This window comes from Homo sapiens, chromosome 15 (genome assembly GCF_000001405.40).
Source record: "Homo sapiens chromosome 15, GRCh38.p14 Primary Assembly".
Taxonomy (NCBI): Eukaryota; Metazoa; Chordata; class Mammalia; order Primates; family Hominidae; genus Homo; species Homo sapiens.
The window spans coordinates 38,439,885-38,467,495 of NC_000015.10; the positions used below are offsets into that span (position 1 = coordinate 38,439,885).

Consider the following 27,611-nt stretch of genomic DNA (forward strand, 5'->3'; position numbering starts at 1 on the left):
AGAAGGCTTTCAATTGTATTTTGAAATTCCTCAAGTGAATTTTTCAATTCCAGAAGTTTCTGATTGATTTTTTAAAGATGTTTTTTAAAATCTCTGCCTTCATTTCCTAGATTGCTTTTGTAGTTTCTTTGTGTTGATTTTCGACCTTGTCTTGGATCTTGTTGAGCTTCCTTGCAATTCATACTTTGAATTGAATTATAAAATATGAATTAATGCTTCCTTTGAATCCATTCTTTATCTGTCATTTCTGAATTTCCATTTTGGTTAGGAGGCGTTGCTGGAGAGCTAGTGTGATCCTTTGATGCTGTTGCAACATTCAGATTTCTCATGGTGCCAGAATTTTTATGCTTGTTTTTTGTCATCTGGAGAGGCTGCCACTTCTAATTTTTGAAATCATTTTCATTCAGATAGAATGTTTTTCTTCCCTTTCTCCAGCCTCTCTAGGGAGTGTGACTGTAGAGTATGTTGGATAGGGTCTTTGGGCTTTGATTTCTATACCCGCTCTGCACTTCTGTTGGCAGGTTTTATATTGAGCTATGCAGTTCCATCTACAGGCCAGTAGATGGCGCTGATGGGTAAGAGTCAGCTGTGGCACGAGCAGATGGGTATGTAACTGATCTTTGTTTACTGTGAGGTGTTCTGTGTTGTTTCAGGTGATAGGCTGGACAGTGGAGTGCCAGATATCCTGAACTTCCTGTTCTGCAATAGGGGTGGTGGGGGAAGGGGTGGAGACAGCTGGGCAGAGCCGGACCTCCTGGCTTGCCTACAAATTCCCCAGTGGCAAACACAGGGACCAGCCCTGATGAGGGCGGCTGGCAGGAGCTCCTGGTGAAATGTGCTGAGGTCTCTGCAGGTGGTGAGGGGGCTGCACCGGCTCCACATCCTAGAAGGACAGGAATATGATCTGTTTCCCTATCATAACCCCGTCTTTGGGCTCATGACTTCCTGTTTGTATGCACACTAAAGTCTATCTCTGGACCACAGTGCGGTTGAGAGCCATGGGAAAACCCTTTCTGCAACTCTCCATGGGTGTTGCTTCAGGGCATTAACTTCTCACTCAGCCTGTCACAGATAGCTTTATGGCTCACTTGTTTTCCAGTGTGGTAATGTTGCTGCTTTGTGTAGAGGTAGGGGCTCCACCTTTGGGCCCGTGCAGGAGGGTGTTGGTTGTGGTGGTATTGGCTGATTGTGTCAAACCAATCTGATGCCCTGGTGAGCTGATCAGGTGCCCACTGTGTTGAAATGGGCTAGGTAGTTCCCCAGTTCCCAGGCCCCTAGATGGCCCACTGGATAGTGTGTGTGAATGTATGAGTTCTGGTGGGGCTGGACAAGGGTTGGGTTAGCCCAGAGTTCAGGTGCTGGCTGTGATGGGGAGGGGTGAACTGGTCCCCGGGTCACTTGCAAAACTCTCAGGTGAGGGCAGGCTCCCACCCAGGCAGTGGGAGCCCAAGGGAAGATCACAGGTCTCTGGGGATTGTGTTCTCAGGAGAGCTCTGGGCCGCAGCTGAAATGTTCAGGTGGAGACAGAGCAGCTGGGGAGGGCCGGACCCCTCAGCTGGAGCAATGGAGACTGGCAGCTGTGGGGTGTGTGACACACTCACACTTCCCTTCTATATAAGTAACATTGGAGTTCACTATTGGGGGCACACAAGGGTGCCAATATTTCTCTTGTGTTGACCTGAGAGTGGTAGTGGCAGAGGCTGTGGTAGTGGCAACTGCCAGAAGCTTGTGGCTGGCCTCAGAAAATTGGGCTTGCAGAGGAACTGAGCTACAGCCAGATGTCCAGGCAGGGGCAAGAAGACTGCACTGGGGGCTGGAAGACAGTGAGCCTCATTTGATGGGAAGCAGCTGAGGTGGGGAGTCATGGGGAGTGCAGTCTACTTGCTGTTCATTTGTATCTCAGCTGTGGCACATGAAAGTGCCCTAGCTCCTCATTCCCTCTTAGCCTGGGGGCAGCAGAGGGGAAGGGAGTGGCAGCCATGACTGAAAAGGGTCTGTCAGCTACCTCTGGGAGTTATGCACTCAGATGAGCACAGAGCTGCGACAGCTGAGTGAGTCCAGGGAGGGGCTGTGTGTGTGTACTGGGGGCTGGCAGGTAGCAAGCCCCGTTTGGCAGGGAGCAGCAGAGATGAAGAGTTGCGGGGTGTGCAGTGTGCCCACTGTTCCTCCATATCTCAGCTGTTATGTTCATGCTGGAGACACACAGAAGTACCCAGACTCCTCGGCCTCTCTTTGCCTGGGGGTAGCAGGGGCAGAGGCAGCGACAATGGCCGTACAAAGGGCTTGTTAGCTATATCTGGGAGTTTTGCACCCAGAGGAATGCAGACCTCTGACTGCAGTATTCCGGCAGGGGCAGGGTGGCTGTGCAGGTGGCCCAAGCCAGCAAGCCCCGACTGGCAGGGAGCAGTGGAATTGGGGGTAATGTAATATGCAGTCTGGCCACTCCTCAGTTTTGCAGCTTTGGCTTCTATCCCAGGGGTGTGCAAAAGAACCTTGTTTCCTTTATTAGTGGGGTAATGGTAGCTGGCACTGGGCTGCCCAGGGATCAAATGCCTGTGAGGTTCCATGTGAGCTGGGGTAGTATCTCTGCACAGACTCCAGGAAGCTCTCTGTGTTGGTCTAGAGGCCTGGGGTAGTCAAGGACAGTCTCTTGTGCCCAGGATTGTAAAGGCCCATGGCAGAAGTGTGGATCTCCTGGAGACCCTCACTCACTTATCCTTTCCCCAGGCTAGGGAGCTTCCTCCAGGTTCCTGCCAGTCCTGTGTGGGCAGTTGCCTGGCTTCAGTCCTTTCTGCCCTCCATGGGTCTGGTCCCTTCCTTAGTGAATCCCAGAGTGATTTCTTAGATGATGATGCATGATATAGTTGGGCCCTGTGTCCCCACCCAAATCTCGTCTTGAATTGTAATTCCTACATGTTAAGGGAGGGACTTGGTGGGAGGTGACTGGAACATGGGGGCGGTTTCCCCCATGCTGTTCTCATGACAGTGAGAGTGTTCTCACGAGATCTGATGGTTTAAAAGTGGTAGTTTCCCCTGCGCACTCTTTCCTGCCACTTTGTGAAAAAGTACTTGCTTCTCCTTCACCTTCCACCGTAATTGTAAGTTTCCTGAGGCTTCTCCAGCCATGCAGAACTGTGAGTCAATTAAACCTCTTTCCTTTATAAATTACCCAGTCTCAGGTAGTATCCTTATAGCAGTGTGAGAATGGATTAATACAATGCAGTTGAAGAGTCAGTATTTATTTGCTACTTTGTTTCTTTCCTGTGAGACAGGCATGAACTAGCTGCTTCTAGTCAGACATCTTGAATCAGACCCCCCAGAATTTTATATAAATAGAATTGTACATTCTGTGCACTTTTTTGACTTGCATTTTTCACTCATTACAATTATTTTGGGATTTAACCATATTGTTATGTATATCATTGATTTATTTCTTTTATTGCTGAGCAGTATTCTACTATATGGAAATACCAGAATATGTTTACTCATTTCATACACATGTTGATGGTCATTTGGTTTATTTATAGTTTGGGTAAACATAATGCTATAAACATTAACATACAAGTATTTTGTCTGGATGTACGCTTGCCTTTCTCTTGGGTACATGGTATTGGAATGTAGAGTTATATAGTAGATATATGTTCAACATTTTAAGAAGCCATTATACTGTATTCCAAAGTATTGCATGATTTTACATTCCTACCAGTGGTATGTGAGAGTGTAGGTTGCTCCATGTCTTCCTCACACTTGGTATGGTCAGATTTTAAAATTTCAGCCATTGACCAGGTGTGGTTGCTCACACCTGTAATCCCAAGCACTCTGGGAGGCCAAGGCAGGCAGATCACTTGAGGTTAGGAGTTCGAAACCAGCCTGGCCAACATGGTGAAACCCCTTCTCTACTAAAATTGCAAAAATTAGCTGGGCATGCTGGTGCGTGCCTGTAATCCCAGCTGCCTGGGAGGCTGAGGTGGGAGAATCGCTTGAATCTGGGAGGCAGACGTTGCAGTGAGCCAGATGGCGCCACTGCACTCCAGCCTGTACAACAGAGTGAGACCCTGTCTCAAAAAAATAACAAAAAACAAAACAAAACAAAAGAAAAAATTCAGCCCCTATAAGTATATGGTGATATTTCATTGTGATTTAAGTTTGCATTTATGACAAATTGAACATAGTTGTATGTACTTATCTTTCATCCACATATCTTCTTTGGTGAGGTATCTGTTCAAATCTTTTGCTCATTTTTTAAAGTTGGGTTGTTTGTTTTCTTATTTTTGAGTTTTAGGATTTATTTATGGATTCTTGATACAAGTCTTTTATCAGATATGAGTTGCAAATATTTTCTCAGGCTTGTGGCTTGCTTTTCATTCACTTAATGGTGTCTTTTGGAGAGCAAAAGTTTTTAATTTTCATCAAGTGTAATTTATCAATTTTTTATCTTACAGATTTTGTATTTGGTATCTTGTTTCAGAAATCTTTGCCTAACCCAAGACTAACAGATTTTCTCCTATGTTTTCTTCTAGAAGTTTTCTTTTTGTTAACCATTATATTTAGTTTACTGACCCATTTTAAGTTAAATTTTGTATATGTCAAAGTTATGTATGGCTTCTTACTGGGGAGAAAAATCTTTTAAGGGGGTATTTTGGTAGAGAAAATGCAATGTCTTCATCAACCGTTTGTTTTTCCTTCTAGGCACACAGCCTAGACTATTTCCCAGCATCTCTGCAGTTAGGTTAGGGTAGTATGACTTAGTTTTAATTTGTGCAAGGTGGACAGAATTAATGTGCTTTCTTCTAGACCATACTGTACAACTCTTTGTATAATCCTCCACATTCTTCATATCCGTTTTCTATGCTAACTTTGGTTGCCATGTGTCCAAAGTAGCTGAGTCACAAAAAAGATGTTAGGTTCCTAAACTGCCACATGAAGGGCCATTGTTCTGATTATTTAATGCTGCACAATAAACCACACCAAAAGTTAGTGGCTCATACAACAGTCTTTTATTAGATCTTATGACTCTCTGAGTTGACTGGGCTCAGCTAGTGGCTCTTGCTTGAGATCTCTCTTGCAATTGAGGGCACTTGTTGGATAGTACAGATGGCTGCAGTCATCTGATGGCTCAACTGGGTGAGTGACCAAGAAGGTCCACTCACATGGATAGCAGATAATGCTGGCTATGTGCTGGAAACCCAACTGGGATGTCAACTGGAGGGCTTACACTTGGCTTCTCCATGTAGCATGAAATTCTCTTAGTCTGGTGGTTGGGTTCCAAGAGGAAGAGCCCCATACATGTGCATTCCAAGAGTCAAGAATTGGAAGCAGTTAAGACTATGCCTGGAGTGGCATAACATCATTTCCTGCATATTTTATTGATCAAAGTAGTGACAGGCCCTTCCTTTATTCAATGGGAATATAAACTGTATATCTTGATGGGGGAGTAGTAAAGTCACATTGTAAAAGAACATAACGTATTGATGGCATTGTCATGATCATCTTTAAAAATACAATATGCCATACTCTCCCACCAAACACTTGACTGTACTATGGCATAGGTGAGGTAAAAACTTACATTATCCTAACCCCATGAGATTTGAAGGTTTGTTACAGCACTTAGTTTATCCTGACTACCATACATAATAGTGCATCCACTGAGAGAACCACCCTCTTGCCTCCTGGATTATCAGTAATGCCTCCTCTCGGCTTGGATAAGGAAACAGTACTTTATTTTCACGATGAGGATACCAACATTTTAAGCAGAATACTTAGTCCTAGGTGTAATGAGGTACCTGCTATATTCACTCACAAGGACATTTGGTATACCAAGCTCCAGCTGCCAAGTTAAAGGTCTGGCTCAACTTCCACTGGGAAATAATCACCTTACAGGCAGTGTCATTTCACAAGCAGAACTTCCCACCTCCAGACTTCTGGTTGGTTCAAGTGGGAGATCCACCTCAAATCCTGAGTTCTATTTTGCACATTTCAGAATCTTATTTCAAATTCCAAGGTTTTTTCCACATAGACTTAACTCTATTTCAAGGATCGCATATATTCAAATGAATTTTATATATTGCATTTTTATAAGCATCCCTCAATAATTTATTAGAATTCTTAATGGTAGCACAAGAAGTGCTATCTCTTTGTGTAGGGCCCACTTCAAATCATTTGCATAGTACCTATATATTGGTTAAGGGTTCAGTCTTGTACTTCTACCTTCCAAGAGTCTTGTTTCTGCTGTTTAGGGGCCCAAAGAACTGATATCAGGAAGAATGTATTGCCACAGATTGTTTTCTCCAGTTCGTATGATGTCTATCTAGTAGGAACCCTCCTTGGACTTCCTACACATATATGATAGTCTGGGAGAACCCACCCATTCTCAACAACTAGTAAGGTAGATGTAGATTCCTTGGTTAAGGAGATAAGTTTGAACACAGACAGACCATTTTTCTGCATTGAAATCACTGAGGCAGTTTCTTCAGGTTAATGTATAAGAGTATACTTTTTCCCTTAGAGCTTCCAGTCATTCTGTACTGGAATTCATAAACTCTTGTCCAGTCAGGTATGTTGGCTCACGCCTGTAATCTCAGCACTTTGGGAGGTGGAGGTGGGTGGATCACTTGTGGCCTGGAGTTCAAGACCAGCCTTGCTAACATAGCAAAACCTTGTCTCTACTAAATAAATGAATAAAAATTACAAAAAAATACATAAACTCTTGGCCTTTTTGTGGTATCTTAGTACATTTTGTGCTGCTATAACAGAATAGTTAAAACTGGATAATTTGTAGAGAACAGAAATTTATTTCTTATAGTTCTGGAGGCTGGGAAGTCCAAAATCAAGGTGCCAGTGGGTTTAGTGTCTGTTGAGGGCCCAAGCCTCTGCCTTGAGTGCTGCATCCTCCAGAGGGGAAAAACACTGCTCCTCATGTGGCAGAAGAGTGGAAGAGCAAAGAAAGACAGAGCTCACTTTTCAAAGCCCACTTTTAAAGGTATTAAGCCCACCCATGAGGGCAAAGCCCTCACAGCCTAATCAACTCTCAAAGGGCCATCCTCTTAATACTATTACAATGGCAATTAAATTTCAACATGAGCTTTGGAGAGGACAAACATTCAAACCATAGCAGGTGAATACAAGAAGAGCCAACTTCAAAGACATGCAACCTATGCAGTTGCGCAGAACCCTGCTCTTAGCATAACTCCATGCTTGGTTTAATACTGTGCTTTTGCTGTCTTGAAATTCTTAATATTTTTTCATTTTGCAGTGGGTCCCATACATTATGCAGTTGGTACTGGGTACAAGGACCATTATTCCTCTAATCAAACAAATCAGTGTCTTCCTAATGATGCTCTGCACTATTACTAATGTCTTGAGGGTAAAATTCCTCCGAATGAAATCTGGGAATTGCCATAGGAGTCAGTATCTCCTGAAAACAGGTGACACTAAAGGCCAGAAGTTTTAGAATATTCACAGAATTCATAACTAAGACCCCAAAAGCAAATGCAACATAAATAAATAAATAGTACCTAATTAAACTAAAAAGCTTCTGCCCGGCAAAAAAATAATCAGCAGAGTAAACAGACAACCCACAGAGTAGGAGAAAATATTTGCAAACTATACATCTGACAAAGGACTAGTATCCAGAATCTACAAAGAACTCAAACAAGAAAAAAAACAAATAATCCCATCAAAAAATGGGCAAAGGACATGAATAGACATTTCTCAAAAGAAGATATACAAACAGCCAACAAACATTTGAAAAAATGCTCAACATCACTAATTATCAGAGAATGCAAGTTAAAACCACAATGAGATACTATTTTATTCCTGCAAGAGTGGCCATAATTTAAAAGTCAAAAACCAATAGACGTTGGAGTAGATGTGGTGAAAAGGGAACACTTTTACACTGTTGATGGGAACAGAAATTAGTACAGCCATTGTGGAAAACAGTATGGAGATTCCTTAAAGAACTAAAATGTGGAACTACCATTTGATCCAACAATCTCACTACTGGGTATCTACCCAAAGGAAAAGAAGTCATTATATCAAAAAGACACATTCACATGCAAGTTTATAGCAGTGCAATTTGCAATTTTAAAGATATAGAACCAACATAAGTGCCCATCAACCAATGAGTGGATAAAGAAAATATCCTATATATACACCATGAAATACTAATCAGCCATAAAAAGGAAAGAAATAATGTCTTTTGTAGCAACTTGGATGGAGCCGGAGGCCATTATTCTAAATGAAGTAACTCAGGAATGGAAAATCAAATATTGTATGTTCTCACTTTTAAGAGGGAGCTAAGCTATGAGGACACAAAGGCCTAAGAGTGATGTAATGGACTTTGGGGACTCACGGTGGTGGGACTTTGGTGGTGGTGGGGGAAACTATGTTTGGGAGGGTGGTGAGGCATAAAAGACTACATATTGGGTACAGTATACACTGCCTGGGTGACGTGTGCACTAAAATCTGAGAATTTACCACTAAAGAACTTATCCATGTAACCAAAAACCACTGATATTCCAAAAAAATTGAAATAAAAAAACTAAATTAATTAATTAAAAAACAGTGTATAAGAGTTCCAGTGTTAACATTCTTGCCAATCTTTGATATTGTCAAGGTTTTGTTTGTTTGTTTGTTTGAGGGAGGATTTTAGCCTTTCTTTCTGTGTATGTAGTAATATGTCTTGATTATTTGGATTTGCATTTCTCTAATGCCAATGAGATTGAGCACTGTCTCGTGTAGGTTTCGGTGGTTTGAATATTCTCTTCTGTGAAATGTTTATTCAACTCTTTTTTCCACTTTTCTTCTCCCAACTTTGAGTTAGTTGTGAATTGTCTTTGTCTAATTGATTTGAAGGATTTCTTTACATAATCTGAATAGGAGTCCCTTGTCAAATACATGTATCACAAATATTTTCTCTCATTTGTGTAGCTTGCATTCTGGCTTTTTTAATGGAATCTTTTTCAGATCTTAATTTAATAAAGACCAAGTTGCCAACATAATATAGAATATCATCATGTTCTGTAAAATATGCAAAGATTTCTTTTCTTTTTTTTCTTTTTTTCTTTTGAGAGGGAGTCTCGCTCTCTCGCCAGGCTGGAGTGCAGTGGCACAACCTCAGCTCTCTGCAACCTCCTTCTCAGGGTTCGGTTCAAGCAATTCTCCTGCCTCAGCCTCCTGAGTAGCTGGGACTACAGGTGTGCGCCACCACACATGGCTAATTTTTGTATTTTTAGTAGAGACAGGGTTTCACCATGTTGGCCAGGATGGTCTCGATCTCCTGACCTCATGATCTGCCCTCCTCGGCCTCCCAAAATGCTGGGATTATAGGCGTGAGCCACCATGCCCAGCCACAAAGATTTCTGAAATAGGACACAAAAGCCCTAACCAGTATATTTAGAGATCTTTGCTTATCTCAAGTTCATGAAGACAGTTTATGTTATCTCCTAAAAACTTTATTGTTTTCTCTTTTAATTTACATCTACCATTATCAGGAGTTAATTTTTGTGTATAGCATGAGGTTGAAGTGGAAGATCTGGATATCCCATTGCCAGCACTGTATGTTGAAAAGGCCTGAACTGAAATGGCAACTTGGTCATTACTTAGGTGACTTTGAAAGTGCAGCTCTATATTCATGAGGGAAATTAGTCTACAGATTCCCTTTTTAGTAATGTCCTCATTGGTGTTTGTTTTAAGATTAGGTTGTCTTCACAGAAAACATTGAAAATGCTCCATGTTTTCCTGGTCTCTTGGAAAGTTTGTGTAAGAATGGTGCTACTTATGTGGAGGAATTCATCAGGAAAGCAATCTAGGCTTGGAGTTTTCTTTGTGGATGAATTTTAATTAGTGATTAAGTTTCTTTAATAGATACTGAACCATTCATATTTTAATTTTTTCTGATATTTGTTAAATTGTATTTTGCAAGAAATTTATCAACTTCCTTTAAATTTTTAAATTTAAAGTTGTTCATAACATTCTCTTTTAACTATTTAATGTCTGATAAATAGTACTGATATTTTTCATTTCTTATATTGGTTGTTTGTTCTTTTCCCCCACCTTGATCAGCCTTGCTAAAGATCTGTCAATTTTATTAGCCTTTGCAGACTCAGATTTTGGCTTAATTTTCTCTATTGCATTTTCTTCCTATTTCGTTGGTGTCTACTCTTTATTGTTTTTATTTCTCTGCTTCTTTGGATTTCATTTGTTTTTCAGCCTCTTAAGATTGATACTTAAGTAATTTTTAATCTTTTTTCATTTCTAATATTCACACCTAATGCTATATATTTTCCTCTAAGAATGAATCCACATATGTTGAATCCTGCATGTGTTGATATGTTGTGTTTTTATTATCACTCAGTTCAAAACTCTCTAATATCCATTATAATTTCTAGTTTGAGGCCTGGTTATTTAGAAGTGTATTGCTTGAATTCCCATCAATTAGTTAAGGGATTTTTTAGTTTTCTTTTTAAATTCTTAATTCCTTATTTTTTTTGTTAGACAATCTCATACTCGGGAATTAATTCGTATTTTAAATCCACTTTAGTCAGAGAACATGCTCTTTATGATTTCAATTTTGAATTTGGTGAGACTTACTTTAGGATCCACTATAGGGTTAAGTTTTATAAATTACATGTGCACTTGAAAAATGCATATTCTGAAGTTTTGGGAGGGGTAGAGATTTATCTATATCAATTAGGTCAAATTTATAAATTATGTTTTCCAAGTCTTATTGACTTGGAATATTTTATGCCTACTGATTTTTTTTGACTGCTTGTTATATTAGTTAATGTGATTGTGACTTTGTCTATTTCTCCTTTAAGTTGTTGGCTTTTAAATTTATATACTCTGAGGCTGGTTATTAAGCAAATAAACATTTAGAATTCTTATGGTTTTCTGCGTCATGACCCTTTTATCATTATGAAATGTCCCTATTTATCTCTCTGTAATATTATAATGCTTCTGTGTTAATAGCTATTTTTTCTAATATTAATATTGCTACCCAGCCATGTTTTGGTTTGATATTTTATCTTCCATTTTTGCCTTCTTTTAGATTTAGTAAGTATTTTTCATTATTCCATTTCTCCCTTTTCTTAGTTGTTAGTTATATACTATTTCATAATTCTGTTAGTGATTACCTAAATGATGGCAATATGCAATCTTGATTTGCTACCATAAATTCATTATTTTACCACTGCCTGGATAATGGAAGAACATTATTGTTTTTAAACTCTTTGTCAGCACCTCACCCCCTGAATTCTCTCTATATTTTACATTTCAGAAGTCATTACTATTACTGTTTTGAATAGTCAATATATATCTAGTTTCACTTACATATTTACCATTTCCAGTGATACTCTTCATTATTTTTTGCACCATTGGGATTTCATCTGGCATCATTTTTTTTTCATCTGGCATCATTTTTTTAACCCGAAGAACCCTCTTTAATATTTCTTTTGACATGGGTCTGCTGGAAACAATTTACATGAGTTTTGTTTATCTGAAAACATCTTTATTTTGCCTTCATTTCTTAAGGATATTTCCACTGTGTAAAATTCTGGATTTGTCATTATTTAAAGCATATGAAAGATGTTGTTTCATGATTTTCTTGCTTCCATTGTTTCTTTTGAGAAGTCAGCTTATATTATTGTTAAAGTTTGATTTTTTTCTCCAGCTGCTTTTAAGCTTTTCCTTCTATCTTTTGTTTTCAGCATTTTTACAAAAATTTTCCTAAATTGTGAATTTCTTTGTATACGTCCTGGTTGACATTAACAGTGCTCTTGGATCAGTGTTTTGTCAGGAAATTTTTAGCAGAGTCTCTTCTTGCTTCTGTCTCATTTTTTCAAGGGTCTTGTTGGAGTCCAATTATTCCATTTACTATGTTAGACCTTTTCAGTTTTTTCAAATATCTGTCATGCTTTTTTTTTTCTTTTGAGATAGGGTCTCACTCTGTTGCCCAGGCTGGAGTGCAGTGGCTTGATTACAGCTCACTGCAGCCTCGGCCTCCTGGGCTCAAGCAATCCTGATCGTCCTGCCCTAGCTTCCTCAATAGCTAGGACTACAAGTGCATACCACCATACCTGACTAATTTTTAAATTTGTTGTAGAGATATGGTCTCACTTTGCTGCCCAGGCTGGTCTCAAACTCCTGGACTCAAGTGATCCTCCCACCTCAGCCTCCCAAAGTGCTGGGATTACAGATGCGAGCCACCATGCTAGGCCAGTCATGCTTTTTTGTTTGTTTTTAGTTCTTTTTCTGTGCATAACTTTTGTTATTCATTTATTTAGATTTTTTAGGAAAACCAGCAGCAGAACACTTAAGATCAATAATAATAAAGAACAGTTACCTCATTTCTATTTGATTTTTACAGAGACTTTTTGCCAAGAGTACTAAGACTAGTACCTTCTATGACACCCCAACTCTGACAAGAGGCAGTAACCACTAATATACATTCTCCTCTCCCTTATTTGGAGATGAATTCAGATACATTAAACTGCAAGTAATTTTACGCTTAAGCCTTGTACAACACTAAAATATACAGTAATAATAGTCATTATACAAATGTATGGTTGAGTTTATGATATGGTTAGGATCTGTGTCTGTGCCCAAATCTCATGTTAAATTATAATCCCCAATGTTGGAGGAGGGACCTGGTGGGAGGTGATTGGATCATGAGGGCAGAGTTCTCTTGAATGGTTTGACACCATTCCTGCCTTGGCACTGTATAGTGAGTGAGTTTATCATGAGATCTGGTTTTTTAAAAGTGTGTGGCAGATCACGAGGTCAGGAGTTCGAGACCAGCCTGACCAACCTGGTGAAACCCCGTCTCTACTAAAAATACAAAAATTAGCCGGGTGTGGTGGTGGGCGCCTGTAATCCCAGCTACTCGGGAGGCTGAGGCAGGAGAATCGCGTGAACCCGGGAGGCGGAGTTTGCAGTGAGCTGAGATCATGCCACTGCACTCTAGCCTGGGCGACAGTGCGAGACTGAAAAAAAAAAAAAAAGTGTGTGGCACCTCCCTGCCTCCCTGCACCCTCTCTCTTCCTCTTACTCCGGCCACGTGATAGCTGCACTCCCCCTTCCCCTTCTGCCACAACTGTCCATTTCCTGAGGCCTCCCCAGGAGTGGAGCAGATGCCAGCATCATGCTTCGTGTACAGCCTGTGGAACCATGAGCCAATTAAACCCCTTTTCTTTATAAATTACCCAGTCTCAGGTATATCTTTATAGCAATATGAGAGTGGACTACTACAGCTTACCTTTGAGTGTTTTACACATTTATGGGTATGCTTTTTGTTTGTAACCATAATTAGGAAGGCGAGAGCATTACTGGTCTTTATTGGACTGGGGCTACGAATGCTATGTAGTCTGCAATGGAAGGGACAGGTCCATACAAGGGATCAATAGTTATACTTCATGCAGGATTTCCAACAGTTCTGCTAGAGTATTCATGTAGGTGACATGCCTGCTAATAATGATCTAACCTTATACTCTTAGTACCTTTTACATATGAACCCTAAAATACATTTTTTAAATCCTTTAGATAAGAGATTGAATTCTTCATGGATAGTACACAGAGGGTATATTATGTTTTGTTTGTTTGGAACTTTACAGAGAATTCGCCACAATTTTGGAAAACCACATCAACTACCTTACTTTGCTGGCGGTATGTTTGTTGCTTATACAACTAATGCTTTGTCAGCAATGAAGCACATCATCTGAATATGCAGTTGAGGGGATTCTACATAGATAGATGCAAGCATCTGATCACTTCATTGGTCTTCCGCATTTCATAAGGAGAAAAATATTACCTTGTTATAAATTACTTCATTTTTTCCTTCAAGTTGAAGCATCGTCGTGTATATTGATTTAAAAATTATATGTGTAGGCATGTGATATTAGTTACTAATTTTAGCTGAAGATAATTATAATTTTATTTCAGATTTCTGTTATTAAAAAGGTCTGGAATCGGATAGGTTGAGATCAACCCGATACCACGATATTTGCTAAAATTTATTTGAACACACAGAAAAGTCCCAACACAGAGAACTCTTTATTACTATTATTTATTATTTCTACTATTCTTTTAAAAAATTATTATCGTTACACGCAGCGGTTTTAGGCACTATGAAGTGTTTATTGCCTCGGGGCTGGGAACCTTTGCGCCCTTCTTCAGCTGTGCTCTCAGGCAGTTACCGGCCAGACCCGGACCGGAACCTTGGCGCGGTGACGCTAGTTTCCGGCGGGCTACTTAGAGCGCCGAACAGCTCTGGGCCAAAGGACCATGAGAGGGCCGGAGCCGGGTCCCCAACCGACGATGGAGGGAGACGTGCTGGACACACTGGAGGCGCTGGGGTGAGTGCTTTTGGAGACGCCTTTTCCCTGAAAACGCAACCTCTCCTTGGCCTGGCTGCTTAGCCTACTTCCCTTGGGCCTCTGTGGGCCTGGGCGGCCATGTGTAGGCCTCCTTCCCTGCCTCGATCCCTCCGGCGCCGACGGAGTTAAGCGGGAGGCGGGAGAGAAATCTATTTGGGGGGTGGAGCAGGGCCGGAGAGCTGGGGTTCGTGGCCCCCTCTTCGAAACTTCTTGCCTCGAAACTCTGTTGCAGGAATCCGCCGGGTGGCGCGGAGCGGCCCTTCTAGCACCGGTTTTCTGGGCTAGCTCGCGCCCGCAGGTGATATTTGTGTTGACGTAGTTCTGGCGCCCGGAGGGAGGTGCTGGAACCTGAGCTGCTGTTGAGGACTGTTGTCTCCTACAATGTACAACTTGTGGCTTACTTGGGGCTCTGGAGCGAATGGCTTTTACTTTGACCGGAGAAAGTGTTGTAGTTCATTGCGAGTTCGTTCTTTCAACCATTTCGTCCGTTCGTCAACGTGTATATTAGCTTGTATATTAATTTACACATATTTACGTTTGTAAATTTCCCCTAGGCAAGGGAAAAGGATAGTTTTTCAGATTACTCTTGGCTTACATAGTCGCGCAGGCTGCAAGTCTGCTGCCGGCTGGTATTTACAGTGCAGAATGGTAAGTGCTGTGAGAACTCAGGGTGGAGGTGGGAGTAATGTTAATACTTAACAAGTGTGGTGGTTCGTAATCTCCCCCTCAACCTCATCCTGTTTTTTTCCACACAGCTCTTGTCCCCATCCCAAATTATCATGTCCTGCCCATTCATTTGTCTCTTGAACTCTGCTTCTCCCTCGTTTTATTCCTCCTCCTCCCCAAGTCAGCTCCTGGAAAACTGATGCTTTGCATATTTTATTCACCGATGTTTTCCCAGCAACACACTAGAACGGAGTCTTTTACAGTAAATAGTGGTTGAATGAATGAGTAAATGAATGAAGAAAAGCTTAGAGAAGAGTCCACAGCAGTAAGCATAGGACCAGATAGTTGAGTCATACAGTGCACATTAAATAAAGAGCTTGGAGCCATCTGCACATTTGTTTGCCCTGCTACGTGCTGCTGTTTCTTGATAGGGGAAGCTGTGCCTTTGCAGCGTTATTATGAAGCTTGAACCAATCCCACACCCCACTTTATCTTCTCTAAAACTGCATTTGCCCCTCTATCAATTGTTTCTTTAGTTGAACCCTGATAATACCTACTTTGCAGTGACCCAGGGTTACGGAGTCTTGCACTTAGTAGATCGTGAATACATATTTGTCAAACGAAAGAACAGTGCCATTGATTATTTAGGGGGCATTTTTACTTCTGTGAAGTCCCTTGGAAGTTCTCACTTAACTTGGTTAAGAAGGAACCAAAACAAGAACTGAAAATACTTAGTAGAATTATTTAGGCTCCAAACAGTTTGAGCTCCCAAGTACTTCAGGTAAGAATATTGGGAACTCATAAATGGTTTATGAAAAAGGAAAAGGCAGTGCTTTTCTTCTTTCTTCATTTCTTGAACTTATTGTTCATATTATAAGTGTTTTAGAAAATTCATTGCTATAATCTTGATTTTTATCAAGGAAAATTAGTCAGATTATTCAACATGGAAAGTAAAACAGTTTACACACTCCAAAATTAGTTTTTCCTGGAATAACTATGAGGGCAACATTTTGAAGTTTGAATTCTCCTATGATAATACGATGTGAAAAAAGTAGTTATTTACAATATGTGTTGTAATGGAACACTGTGTTTTCAAATATCCATGTAGATAGTGAATAATGCATTTTCTGTTGTAAGGTATTGAGGATATCAGCAAAGGTACTTCAGTTTGTCATGTAAAATAAATTAATGGGAGGCATTTGAAGGGAAAAATCTATGTGAAAGGACAATTTAGTGATACAGGTGAAAACAGGATAGGCTAGGAGTCAGTCAGTTTTCTCATCTGTGAAAAGAGAGGGCTGGAGCAGATGATTTTAGAAGTCTCTTTCAGTTCTGATAGTCTCTGATTTTGTGGAATAGTAGATCTCAACACTGGAAGTACATCAGAGTCGTGTGGAACTTGTGAAAAACTGTTCCAGTCTAGTATATACCATAGACTGACCGAATCATAATCTTCAGAGGTACAGTACAGACCTGCATATTTTTAAAAAGATTCACAGACTCAGTTGAGAAACACTACTATGGAGAGAAGTTTCCTTTAAATATTTATTGAACACACTGTATATTGGACCTCGTTCTGAGGAGTCAGTGGTGAGCAAAATAGACTTGGTTCCTACCCTTGTGGAGTTTATAATCTAGTGGAGAAACAGACATGATCACAAAAACAATTATAAACTATAATAAATGTGTCAAAGGAAAAGAACAGGGTGATGTAACAGGAGGATCTAAGAAGTCTTAGGGGTTAGTGATAGATTCCTGAGGAAGTGACATTTGAGTTGAAATAAGAAGGGTGAATAGAAATTAAGTAGTTAAGGTTGGATGGATGAAAAAGGGGGACAAAGATATCCTTACAGTGAGAAGAAAATGTGAAGACTTTGAAATGTGAAGGAGCTTGCTGTATTAGAAGAACTGGAAGGAGGCTAATGTGGTTGGAAGGCAGAGTGTGAGGGGCAGAGTGGTGGGAAATTGGATTCAAGAGTTAGGTGAAAATCAGGGCATGCAGCCCCTTTTAGTCTGTGTTGTGGATTTTATTCTTGATCATAACAGCAATGGGATGTGATCGAATAATTTTAAATAAAAAGGGAGTGGTTAGATGTCTAGTTTGAAAGTTACATCTGTCAGCAAGATGGAAAATAGATTGGAGAATTTAGTTAATAGTCTGTGAAAGAAATGATGGTTGCTTAGTGGCAGTGGATATGGGAAGAACTACATTACTGAACTTAGTGATTGATTGGATATTAAAATTCAAGGATTCATTTCTCTTTATTTTAAAAAATTTTTTAGATACAGGGTCTTGTTATGATACCCGGGCTAGTCTTGAACTCCTGGCCTCAAATGATCTCCTGCCTTGGCTTCTCAAAGTGTTGGGATTACAGGTGTGAGCCACCACGCCCCAACAGATTAATTTCTTCAGTTGGTATTTATTGAGCACCAAAATGAAATGATACACCTTAGAATCTAAATTGGATACAGAAGAATGTGAAGATAGGAGAGAGTTGGTAAATATGGAGAATGCAGAGGAATCAATGAATGGAGGTAATGATGATATCAAAGAATAGTTATAGGTGAGTGGTCGAAGAAGCAAGTGGAAGGATAAATAAGAGGTTGTGGTCAGGGAGCCACATGTTTGGATAAGTGATTTTGGAGGTGCAGTGGTTGTAAGTAATGGCAAGGGTGCAAGGGGGGCTGAGTGACATGTGCAGGTTGGAATTGAGAGCTCAGGGTGTGAGATAGGGTATACATACAGACATTAAAGAAACTCAGTGTAATGGCAAGAATAGAGGTGGAGAGGAAAACTGAGCAAAGGGGATGTTGGGGAGTGTCCAAGAGGTAATAGATGAAAACCACAAGTGAATGGGTGGCAAATCTGAGTGGCCTGTGCCTCAAGGAAATAGGAGATATTTATAAGATAATGGGAGAGCAGTGATAATGATGCTATTTTGGTAAGAAAGGAGGCCAAAACTCCTACTATCTGACCTTAAGGCATTTGTGAAAATAAAAATAATTAAAGCTAGAGATGGTAGGAATAACAATCTTACTTTTTTTTTTTTTTTTTAAGAAAGAGAATTTTCAGAGTCAAAAGAACAGAAATCAGTAATCTGTTCTCTTCCAGGGTGGGGAGAAAACCTCCTTCCCCATAGGTTCGAGACTATGGCTAGATGGTGAAGAAGGGAGCTCAGTACCCAACCTTGGGGAGACACAGAAAGGGCCCATGCCAGGCACTTAGCTAGAGGCAAGCGTAGCTTTTGGGCCACAAGACCTGATGGCCACTGGGGTACTGGCCTGGAAACAAGTCCTCATCTTCCCAGAAATGTCTTATTTTTGTCTGCAGCAGCTGGCTGGAGAAAGATTTTGGAAAGGTGTGTACCTGGAGCACCCAAAGGCATACCCTTCCTTTTTCCTTGGCATAGGCTTTATAACACTGAGGAAAGGTCATGGTTTGGCAATGGAGTCTTCAATAGTCTTCATCCCTGTAGAGTTCAGTGGCTTTTAGGGTGACAGGAGAGGAGACGACTTGAAAGACCAAGAGTCTTTCAGCTTCTCCCCCACTGAAACGCTATATGCTGGGGCCACAGTTCATGGCAGAACACACACTCACACACACATCTCGGGAACCCAACAACTCGGGAGCAGGTAGTTCTGGGTATTGTTGGTCTGGCATTTGCCTACTTGGCATCTAAGCTGTCCTAAAGCTCCTTACAATCACTTCTCACTATTTCCAGGCCCATGTGGTGAGGCCCTCCAGCTTTCACTCTGTCCGTCAGGTGATCCTAAAGGCACAGCATAGGAAAGACCCTTACTGGGATGACCACTGCTTGGAAGCAGGGAAGGCTAAGAGGCCTGCCCCTACCCAAGGCTGGTATAGATGTCCTCTGCTCTGCTTCTCAAAGACTGGGAACAGGTTCAGCAACTCAGTATCTGCCATGTCATCAAACCAGGACTGCACAGGCACTGCATTCTCTGGGTGGAAGATGTAAGAAGCAGACAAGTTGTCCAGGATGAGGGTTTTCCTCAGGTTCCTCCCCAGGCGGCTGAGGTTCCTGACTTAGCAGCCCTGGTGGAACCACAGGACTCATGGAATAGGTGAGCCCGGAACACCCCACACCGGCCAGCAGATCCGTCACAGGGTTGGCATACTTGGCCAGGTTGGCAGTGAAGGGAACACATTCAAAGAGTTCTCTCATTCGTCTCTTTCCACGTGAGCTCTTTTGAGGACAGAAACCTGCTTGAGTGGTCTCCTCAATCTCTGTAGGCACTGTGAAGCTAGCATTGTTGCTGGGCTTAAAGATGCACAAGGGCTTCATCCAGGTCAGTGACCACACAGATCCTCCTTTGATCTTCCTCTGTCACCTTGGGGCAGACACGTCCCTGGGATCCGATAAAACTGGTACTGGAGACACTGGAGCAGATCCGACTTAGCAGTGGTGTTGGCTTCCTCCTTATATGGATGAGCTCAGTGGAAGAGCTTGACTGGCCATGCTGGATGCGAAAATAGCAGACAAGGGCCTTGAAGATGTTATATCCACGAGGCTTCTTAAGGAGGGCTTGGAGACCAGGCCTTGCTTGGTGAGCACCAGGGCATCTTCCCCTGTGCCTGGGTGATGATGGAACTGTGCTCCATCTAATTCCACAGGTGCGGGCTGGTTGGGTGGAAGAACCAGTGAGCCCATGGTCTGGGCTGGGCTGGGGGGCCTGGGTTTGGGCTTGCTGCAACTCCTGAGACTCCCGACTCCCACAGCTGTTTACATACCCCCTCTCCTTTCCTCCCTGGGCTGCGAAGCGAGGTGGCCTGTACCAAGGGTGGGCGCCCGGAGATGGGCTCCCTTGGGTACCCTGGCTCCAGTCTCCTAGCAGCAGCTCTGGGCTTCTCAGTTTGGGTCCAAAATGGAGAATCCAGAGTGAAAACAAGAGAGGAATAATCTTTCTGAGAAGAAATGGACAGTATAGCAAAATATCCACTGTGTTGTAGATGAAAGATAGTGGACATTTTTAGGAAGCAGAGAGAGGTAGAGAGTTGGATGAGGGGCAAAGACAATAGGTTGGGTAAATGATGGGAAAAGAAAGGGTCTTCTGTTTTATCTCTTGGCTGATGAAAATAGAAAGTAAATTAGGCCCTGGTTGTATTGTTGAGGAGAGTTGCCAGCAGCCCTAATGGACTGAAGATTTGGATCACCCAGCTTGAAGTAGTGTCTGACCAGCAACTATGCTTCCAGGGTATGAGGCTTTGAGGGAGGGCCTAGGCCTAGGGGAGATGTTCCCAGTGTTTGGAATAACAGTAGCACTTTGATGAATAACTAAGAATATATAGAACAAACTAGGAGCATGGTTATTCTCTGTAAACGCAGAATGGCATTGGAAATCAAAGCCAGTATGAAATAAATGTGGTAAACACTAAACAGTTGCTAAATGTAGCATAAATAGACTCTTAAATGCCTGCTGTAATTTCTCATGTACTGCAAGAGGAGAAGGAGTGATGATAAATATTGAGAGTTTTTTTTTTTAAATGAAAGTAAAAAAATAAGTACTATGCTGCTTAAGAGAGGTCTGTGGACTAGCAGCGTCATCATCACCTGGGGAGTAGAAATGCAGAATCCCAGACATCATTCCAGCTCTACTGAATTAGAATCTTTATTTTAACAAGACCCTCAGGAGATTCATATGCACATAAAAGTTTAAGAAGTACTGTTCTAGCCAGAAAAGTGCTTTCATATTCTTATTCGGTTATCTAGCAGAATATACTTAGACACTTCTATTGCCTAAGACAATTAGATACATTTCTGGATGGTGACAGAACAATACAGGCTAAGAGTGTGGGGCTATGGAGGTAGGTTGTGTGGCTCAGTTCCGGGACAGTTGTTAGCTATGATTATGGCCATCCCGGATGAATTATTTACCTTTATCATCCTGAGCTTCCTCATCTGTAAAATGAAGCTAATAATAGTATCTACCTTATAGGGTATTGTGGCAACTAAATGAGACAATTTATATAAATTGTTTAGCACTGACCCAACATACAGTTAGCACTTTCTAAATGTTAGCCACTATTGCGATTTTGATTGTTACTAGATGGTCAGGTATGTTAAATGCATTTATTTGTTCCTCTTTTTATTTTTACTTCATCTGATGAGCTAAGGCATTAAAGATTGGATTTTTTTTTCCAAATTCAGAATTTTTTGTGATTTGATCAGTTCTTGTTGGTTTTTATTATTGACATTTCAGTTAAAAAAACTTACATCAATATGAATTAAATTTCTTCAAGAGTTTATGAGTATTGCTTTATTGCAGAAATGAAAGCAAATAAGAGGATATAAGATGTTTACTATGAAATCTCATTGAGAGGCATTGTAAGACATAGAGGAAGGCTGAGTCATAGAAGAACCAGCCTTGAGCTGGGGGGTGCAGAAATAATATTCTAGTCTCAGCTCTGCCTTTACTTGGCTGTATCAACTGGACCAGATTATTTCCTTAGTTTCCTTATAGTTGTAGACAGAGGTCTAACAAGACCTATGTTAATGATGGAGCATTTGGGTTAAACGTGGATTTAAATCCTAGTGCCATTTTCTGATTCTACAGAATTAGGATAATGCTAACTTAAAGCATTGCTGTAAAGATTAAATGAAATATATATATATATATATGCCTAGCACTGTGCCTGGCCTGCTACATAAAGGCAGGTTTCCTAATGTCATGAAGTCTTAGTTTCTTTACCTACAAAATGAGGATTTGAAAATACTTGTACTTACCCTTCATCTGATATAACCAGAGAATTCAAAGAAAAAGAAATGCAAGTGGCCTTTAAACATATGCAAAGATACCCTACGTCTTGCTTGTAAGAGAAATGTAGATAAAACTATACTGAGTTACCAGATGGTCAAAAATCCAAAAGTTTGACAACTTTGATGAATTATGAGGGAATGGGTACTCGGATACCTTGATGGTACAACCCCTCTACAGGAGAATTTAATAGTATCTGGCAAAGTTATGTATCTATTTACCCTTTGACCCAACAGTCTCACCTCTAGGAATCTATCCTAGATAAAAACTGACAAAAATTTGCCAAACTATATTAACAAAACACTGGAAACAATCCAAGTGTCCTTTAGTAGATGCCGATTAAATAAAATATGGTGCATCCAGACAGTGAGGTAGTATATAACTGTAAAAATGGTTGAATACTATGTCTAAATATTGATCTCTACTCTATGTAAATGTATGTGTGTGTGAGCATGTATGTGTTTAAAGCAAGGACTAGAACAGTACATAGTAGGCTACCTTTTATCTGGAAAAGGAGACAAAAATGCATATATTTATACTGAAAAACATGATGGAAGGACAACCCCAAACTAATAAATATGGTCACCTGTAGGGGAGGGAGAGAACAGAGTAGAGGATACAAGATTAAAATTGCAAACTAGATTTTTCTGATGCATTTTGTTTTTTAAGTTAGACTTTGAAACTGCATTAATGTTTTACATAATTATAAGACAAAAATGAAATAAAAAGAAACAAATCCCTACAAATTAAAGCTGAACAAAACAAATGTCTATTGATATATTGAGTAGGTGGTTTAATCACATGGGAATTGTTTTTCTGTATATCCTTACAGGAATACGTCGTAAATATAAAAAAATTAAACTGTAATTTTATTGTTAGTAGTAATGCTGGATTTCCTATTCTGAAGCCATAAGTAATTTATACCTATTTTAATATATATTAGGAATTTGTAAATGTTATTAAAACAAGAATTGTCATTGTAAGAGAAGATAAATAAAAATGTAAAACAAAATAAGTAAAACCCCTACAATTCTAAATTCCAGTTGGAAATAGCAATATGAAACTGATATAGTTTCTCTGAAAAAGGCATAGAAACAGTGACCAACCTTTGGTAGCAGATTATGTACTCTAAATACCATTAAAAGAATCGGGGCTCCTTGGAGAAATGCCTGATTCCAAGTCTAAGGCAGGAAGATGTTGTTGTAGAAAGCAAGGAAAGTATTCAGAGAGTACGGAGGACAAGACAAAGGGCTCGACTGGCCTACCTGAATGGGCTACTATAAACCAGAGACAGAAGAATTTGAGTATCAAAAGAATAACTGTGATGGATTAAAACACATCAAGTATATTATCTGTGACTTTATAATGTTAACAAAAGTTCAGTTGCAAAAAGAACCATAAAAGTAGAAAACTGATCATCTAATTCAGTTAAGATAGTATATAAAGTGTTTTGAAAATTTAAGATTCTTGTGAAATACAATTTGCAGAAATGTTTAGAAGTGTAAAATTATAAATAAATGAGGCCAGGCACGGTGGCTCACACCTGTAATCCCAGTACTTTGGGAGGCCGAGGTGGGTGGATTGCTTGAGCTCAGGAGACCAGCCTGGCCAACATGGCTAAACCCCCTTTCTACTAAAAATACAAACATTAGCTGGGTGTGGTGGCAGGCACCTGTAATCCTAGCTACTCTGGTGGCTGAGGCATGAGAATCCCTTGAACCCAGGAGGTGGAGGTTGCAGTGAGCCAAGATTGTGTCACTATACTCCTGCCAGGGTGACAGAGTGAGACCCTGCCTCAAAAATAAAATAAAATAAAATAAAATAAAATAAAATAAAATAAAATAGTAAAGTAAAATAAATAAAATAGGTTTAGATTAAAATGATCTAATAGATTCTTTTCAACTTTAGCTTTTTTAAATTTGTAATTTGTGTCTGTGCTTTTTTCACCATATTTTTATTGTAATTAATATAAGGCTATTAGACTTTATGCTGTATTTGACTTTGTGATACCTGTGGTATTTATCTGAAAATTGGTAGATAATTTTACTGTAAAATGTTAAAACATAGGAAAAAAGCCAAATGTTAATTATATAGAGCAGGAATCAGCAAACCATTTCTTTAGAAGGCCATGTAGTCATCATTTTCGGTTACAAATACTTAGCTCTTCCATTGTAGTGTGGAAACAGCCGTAGCCAATTTGTAGATTAATACATTTAATGGCTGTGTTCCAATAACATTTTATTTACAAAAACAAGCAGCAGACCTTGACACAGAGTGTTGGAGGTTTTTTTGTTTGATTGGCTTATTTAGTTTTTAACTTGTATTTCTTCCTTTCTAGGTATAAAGGACCATTGTTAGAAGAGCAAGCCCTTACAAAGGCGGCAGAGGGTGGATTATCTTCACCTGAATTTTCAGAGCTCTGTATTTGGTTAGGCTCTCAAATAAAATCATTATGCAACTTGGAAGAAAGTATCACGTCTGCTGGTATTGCCATTATGTTGTATTTACTTTTCTGTTTAATAGTAAACTGATAACTTACGGTTTATAGTTTTATCAATAATGTGCCCACTGTACAAAGAAAAATCACATATTCCAAAGAATTTCAGTATGTGGTAGTAAACATTTTTGGATTAAATTTTATATTAATCCAGAATTGATATTTAAATTTGCTATAAAACTATAAGCAATTACTATTTATCTGCTATTTTTTTCTCTTCCTGACGGCTCTGATATCTGCTGTCTAAACCTTAGTATTGTTTTTTAGAAAAAGTAGGGTCTGAATTTGATTATTTAAAAGTTTAATTTTTGAATGGTGCTCATGTTGAATTAAGGCTTAAAATATTATATATATATAATTCCTAATTTGTGTTCTGAAGCTTGTAGCTCAGGATATGGATTCACATAGGAATACTTCTATTAAAAACTTCTGTACTAGCTCATAAAGCTTCTTTAGTTCATTACCATCTTAGTAACTGGAGTCCTGTGGGTCTTTGGTAGAATTTCGGATATTAATAGTATAATAAAAAGAAAAATTAAAAATTGTGCATTCACAAAAGTAGCTTTTTCTTTGAAAAGTATCCTTTTTTTCTTAAGAGATGGGGTCTTGTTATGTTGCACAGACTGGACTTGAACTCCTGGGCTCAAGCAACCCTCTCACCCCACCCTCCCAAGTAGTTGAAACTGCAGGTGTGGGCTACCGCACCCAGCCAGATCTAACAGTTCACTTGACGCAAAGTAAACTAATTTGAATTCTAAACATATAACACGACTGCCTACATAATTACATTATGAAATAAAGATAAGCAGTGAGGGTTAATTAGATGGTTGCATTTATTTTCTGAATATATAGAAATATAGTAGAAATGGATCATTTGCTCTGAAGTGAATTAATAATTATAGCCATAATAATGCTTTTACTATTTCAGTTGTTAACGTAAGCTTCGTGATCACACATTTAAGGATTTAATGTGAAAATTTAGAATTGAATGTAAAATGGAAATAAACGAGTAGATTTTATAGTATTGGATTATATGGTAAATGCTCAGTAAATGTTTTATGATTTTTCTTTTTTAAAGGAAGAGATGATCTAGAGAGCTTCCAGCTTGAGATAAGTGGCTTTTTAAAAGAAATGGCATGTCCATATTCTGTACTCATATCAGGAGATATTAAAGATCGTTTAAAAAAGAAGGAGGACTGTTTGAAACTTCTATGTAAGTTATCTTGAACATTTAAATGCATGTGTTTGACATGGTTTTTATTATTTTCAAGTCAAGATTTATTAATGAAGCATTAGACATTTTGTATATTAAAAGGGTTTTAATATTTTACTTAAAATACAAAGCTATCTCAGAAATGTTTATATAATATAGTATAAATTTTACCAGTATGCCTTCTAACACTTGTGATTTATTTGGCCAATATAGAATGTCCTGTGTTTGTGATTTATATAGTACTTTAGTAATTTTTCCTTTATCTCATTCTATCTGTTATTGTTCGTGACTATATGGCTAACATTGATGATCTCCAAAGTCCTATTTAATCTAAAAACTCTCTGAAACTAGGCACTGGATGATAATTTGTTGATCACTTACTCTAACACCAAGAACTGCTCTGGATACTAGGGATATATGAGGGTTGCTTGTTTTGTTTTTTTTTAAAAAATATAAAATTTGTGCCTTTAGGACACTTTAAATGTGGCCAGTTTCATCAGGGAGGGATTTGGAATATAGGTCATACTGTATTCAAACAATTACCATAAATAGTAGGTCCATGTTTGTGTTGGGTTCCTTTCATCATTTTTTTACTTTAGGCTAATTTTATAATGTTTTTAAAGTTCTACAAACAATGACTATTTGAAAGAATTTTTCTAATACCTTCTATTATTGAAGATTTCTATTTCAGATCATGCCATTTATAAAAAGATTACACGTGACATATTCCTCCTAGGCGCTAGTGTTTTAATAAAGTTTGTTTCATTAGAGATGAAATTTGTGTGTGTGTGTGTGTGTGTGTGTGTGTGTGTGTGTTTAGTGGTGACAAAAGTATTGGCATTGAAATTACCTTGTGTGTGTTGAGTGGGGATAAAAATTATATGCCCTCTCTCTCCATCCCAATACACCATTCTCCATCTTCCTCCCATTTGGTGTGAGTCACTGATTTAATGAACCACTGTTATTGGGAGATCACAGTAACTCTTAGGTATATTGGGACAGAAAGGAACCTAGGAAACACCGGCTAGAGGAACTTGCATATCCTTAATATCAGTCAATGAGAATTATGTAATCCATCATGGTTCCCTTTCTCCTTAGCTGCTAAGAAGCTTAGCAATTGTAGTGATACAGGTTTCTGGTACAAGTAGGAATAAAAAAGAAATTTAACAGAAATATATAGTTTTTTTCTGATTATAAAAATAACATGTTCAGGAGGGCGGTGATGAGGAGTTAGTGTTTAATGGGTACAGAGTTTCAGTGAGGAAGACGAAAAAGTTCTGAAGATGGATGGTGACGTCATAGAACTGTATACTTAAAAATGATTAAAATGGTAAATTTTATATGTGCAAAAATTACATGCTTATCATAGAAATCTTAGAAAATACATAAAACATAAAGAAGAAAAGCATTTATAATCTCACTCCCTAGAGAGAATATTGTGTCTCTGTTTTCTGTGTACATACACACAACACTCTCACACTCGCACTCACTCTTAAATAAGATTAAGATCCTGTTTCAGATCCTTCTCCTCCTCCTCTTCATTTGATGTGTCGTTTTTCTCTTTATTTCCCTATCACTTGTTTTTTGAAAAACTAAATTGGCTCTGCTATTGACATAACATTATGTGTAATAGATTTCAAATTTGGAGGTATTTGGATTTTTTTCTATTTTAAAATGATTTCCTTGTTTATATTTTTGCTTACTTAGACAAAGATTAGGAACATTTAAAATAGTCTCCGGTCTAGATGTATATTGCCATATTTTGCTCCAGAAAGGTTATACTAGTTCACAGTCTTACCAGCATCTAGTCTTTCTTCAGTTTGACTGTTTTAATCATATTGATATAATAAGCTTCTTCATGTTCTTTTTGAAAGTGTTTGCAACATGTATAAAATTAAAAGGGCCAAATCCTGTACTATGTAAAGAGCTTTTATAAATCAACAGGAAAAAGATAAAAATCCACTGGGAAAATGTGTAAAATACATAAGACATGAACACGCATTCTACAGAAAATTTTTTTTTAACTGCTTCTAAGCATGACAAGATGCACAATATCACTTATGACAGGATACCATTTTTCACTCAAAAAATC

At 39.2% G+C, this 27,611-nt stretch overlaps 1 protein-coding gene and 1 pseudogene across 1 annotated transcript in view, besides 3 other annotated features; one reads left to right on the forward strand and one right to left on the reverse strand.

Moving 5' to 3' along the window:
- Positions 676-845: an enhancer, noted in NCBI's record as "active region_9201". NCBI's record gives its function as "activates an Ori minimal core promoter by ATAC-STARR-seq in GM12878 lymphoblastoid cells {active_cell/tissue: GM12878}" and the evidence as "EXISTENCE:reporter gene assay evidence [ECO:0000049][PMID:35858748]".
- Positions 14,243-27,611, forward strand: part of FAM98B (family with sequence similarity 98 member B) — a 33,584-nt gene continuing 20,215 nt past the window's right edge. The window contains exons 1-3 of the mRNA NM_173611.4: positions 14,243-14,348; positions 24,148-24,293; positions 25,385-25,519. Coding sequence (NP_775882.2) covers positions 14,278-14,348; positions 24,148-24,293; positions 25,385-25,519 — 352 coding nt within the window. The 5' untranslated portion in view covers positions 14,243-14,277. The remainder of the gene's footprint in view (positions 14,349-24,147; positions 24,294-25,384; positions 25,520-27,611) is intronic.
- Positions 14,391-14,500: an enhancer, noted in NCBI's record as "active region_9202". NCBI's record gives its function as "activates an Ori minimal core promoter by ATAC-STARR-seq in GM12878 lymphoblastoid cells {active_cell/tissue: GM12878}" and the evidence as "EXISTENCE:reporter gene assay evidence [ECO:0000049][PMID:35858748]".
- Positions 14,561-14,660: an enhancer, noted in NCBI's record as "active region_9203". NCBI's record gives its function as "activates an Ori minimal core promoter by ATAC-STARR-seq in GM12878 lymphoblastoid cells {active_cell/tissue: GM12878}" and the evidence as "EXISTENCE:reporter gene assay evidence [ECO:0000049][PMID:35858748]".
- Positions 18,675-19,856, reverse strand: LOC100422645 (CTD small phosphatase 2 pseudogene; annotated as a pseudogene).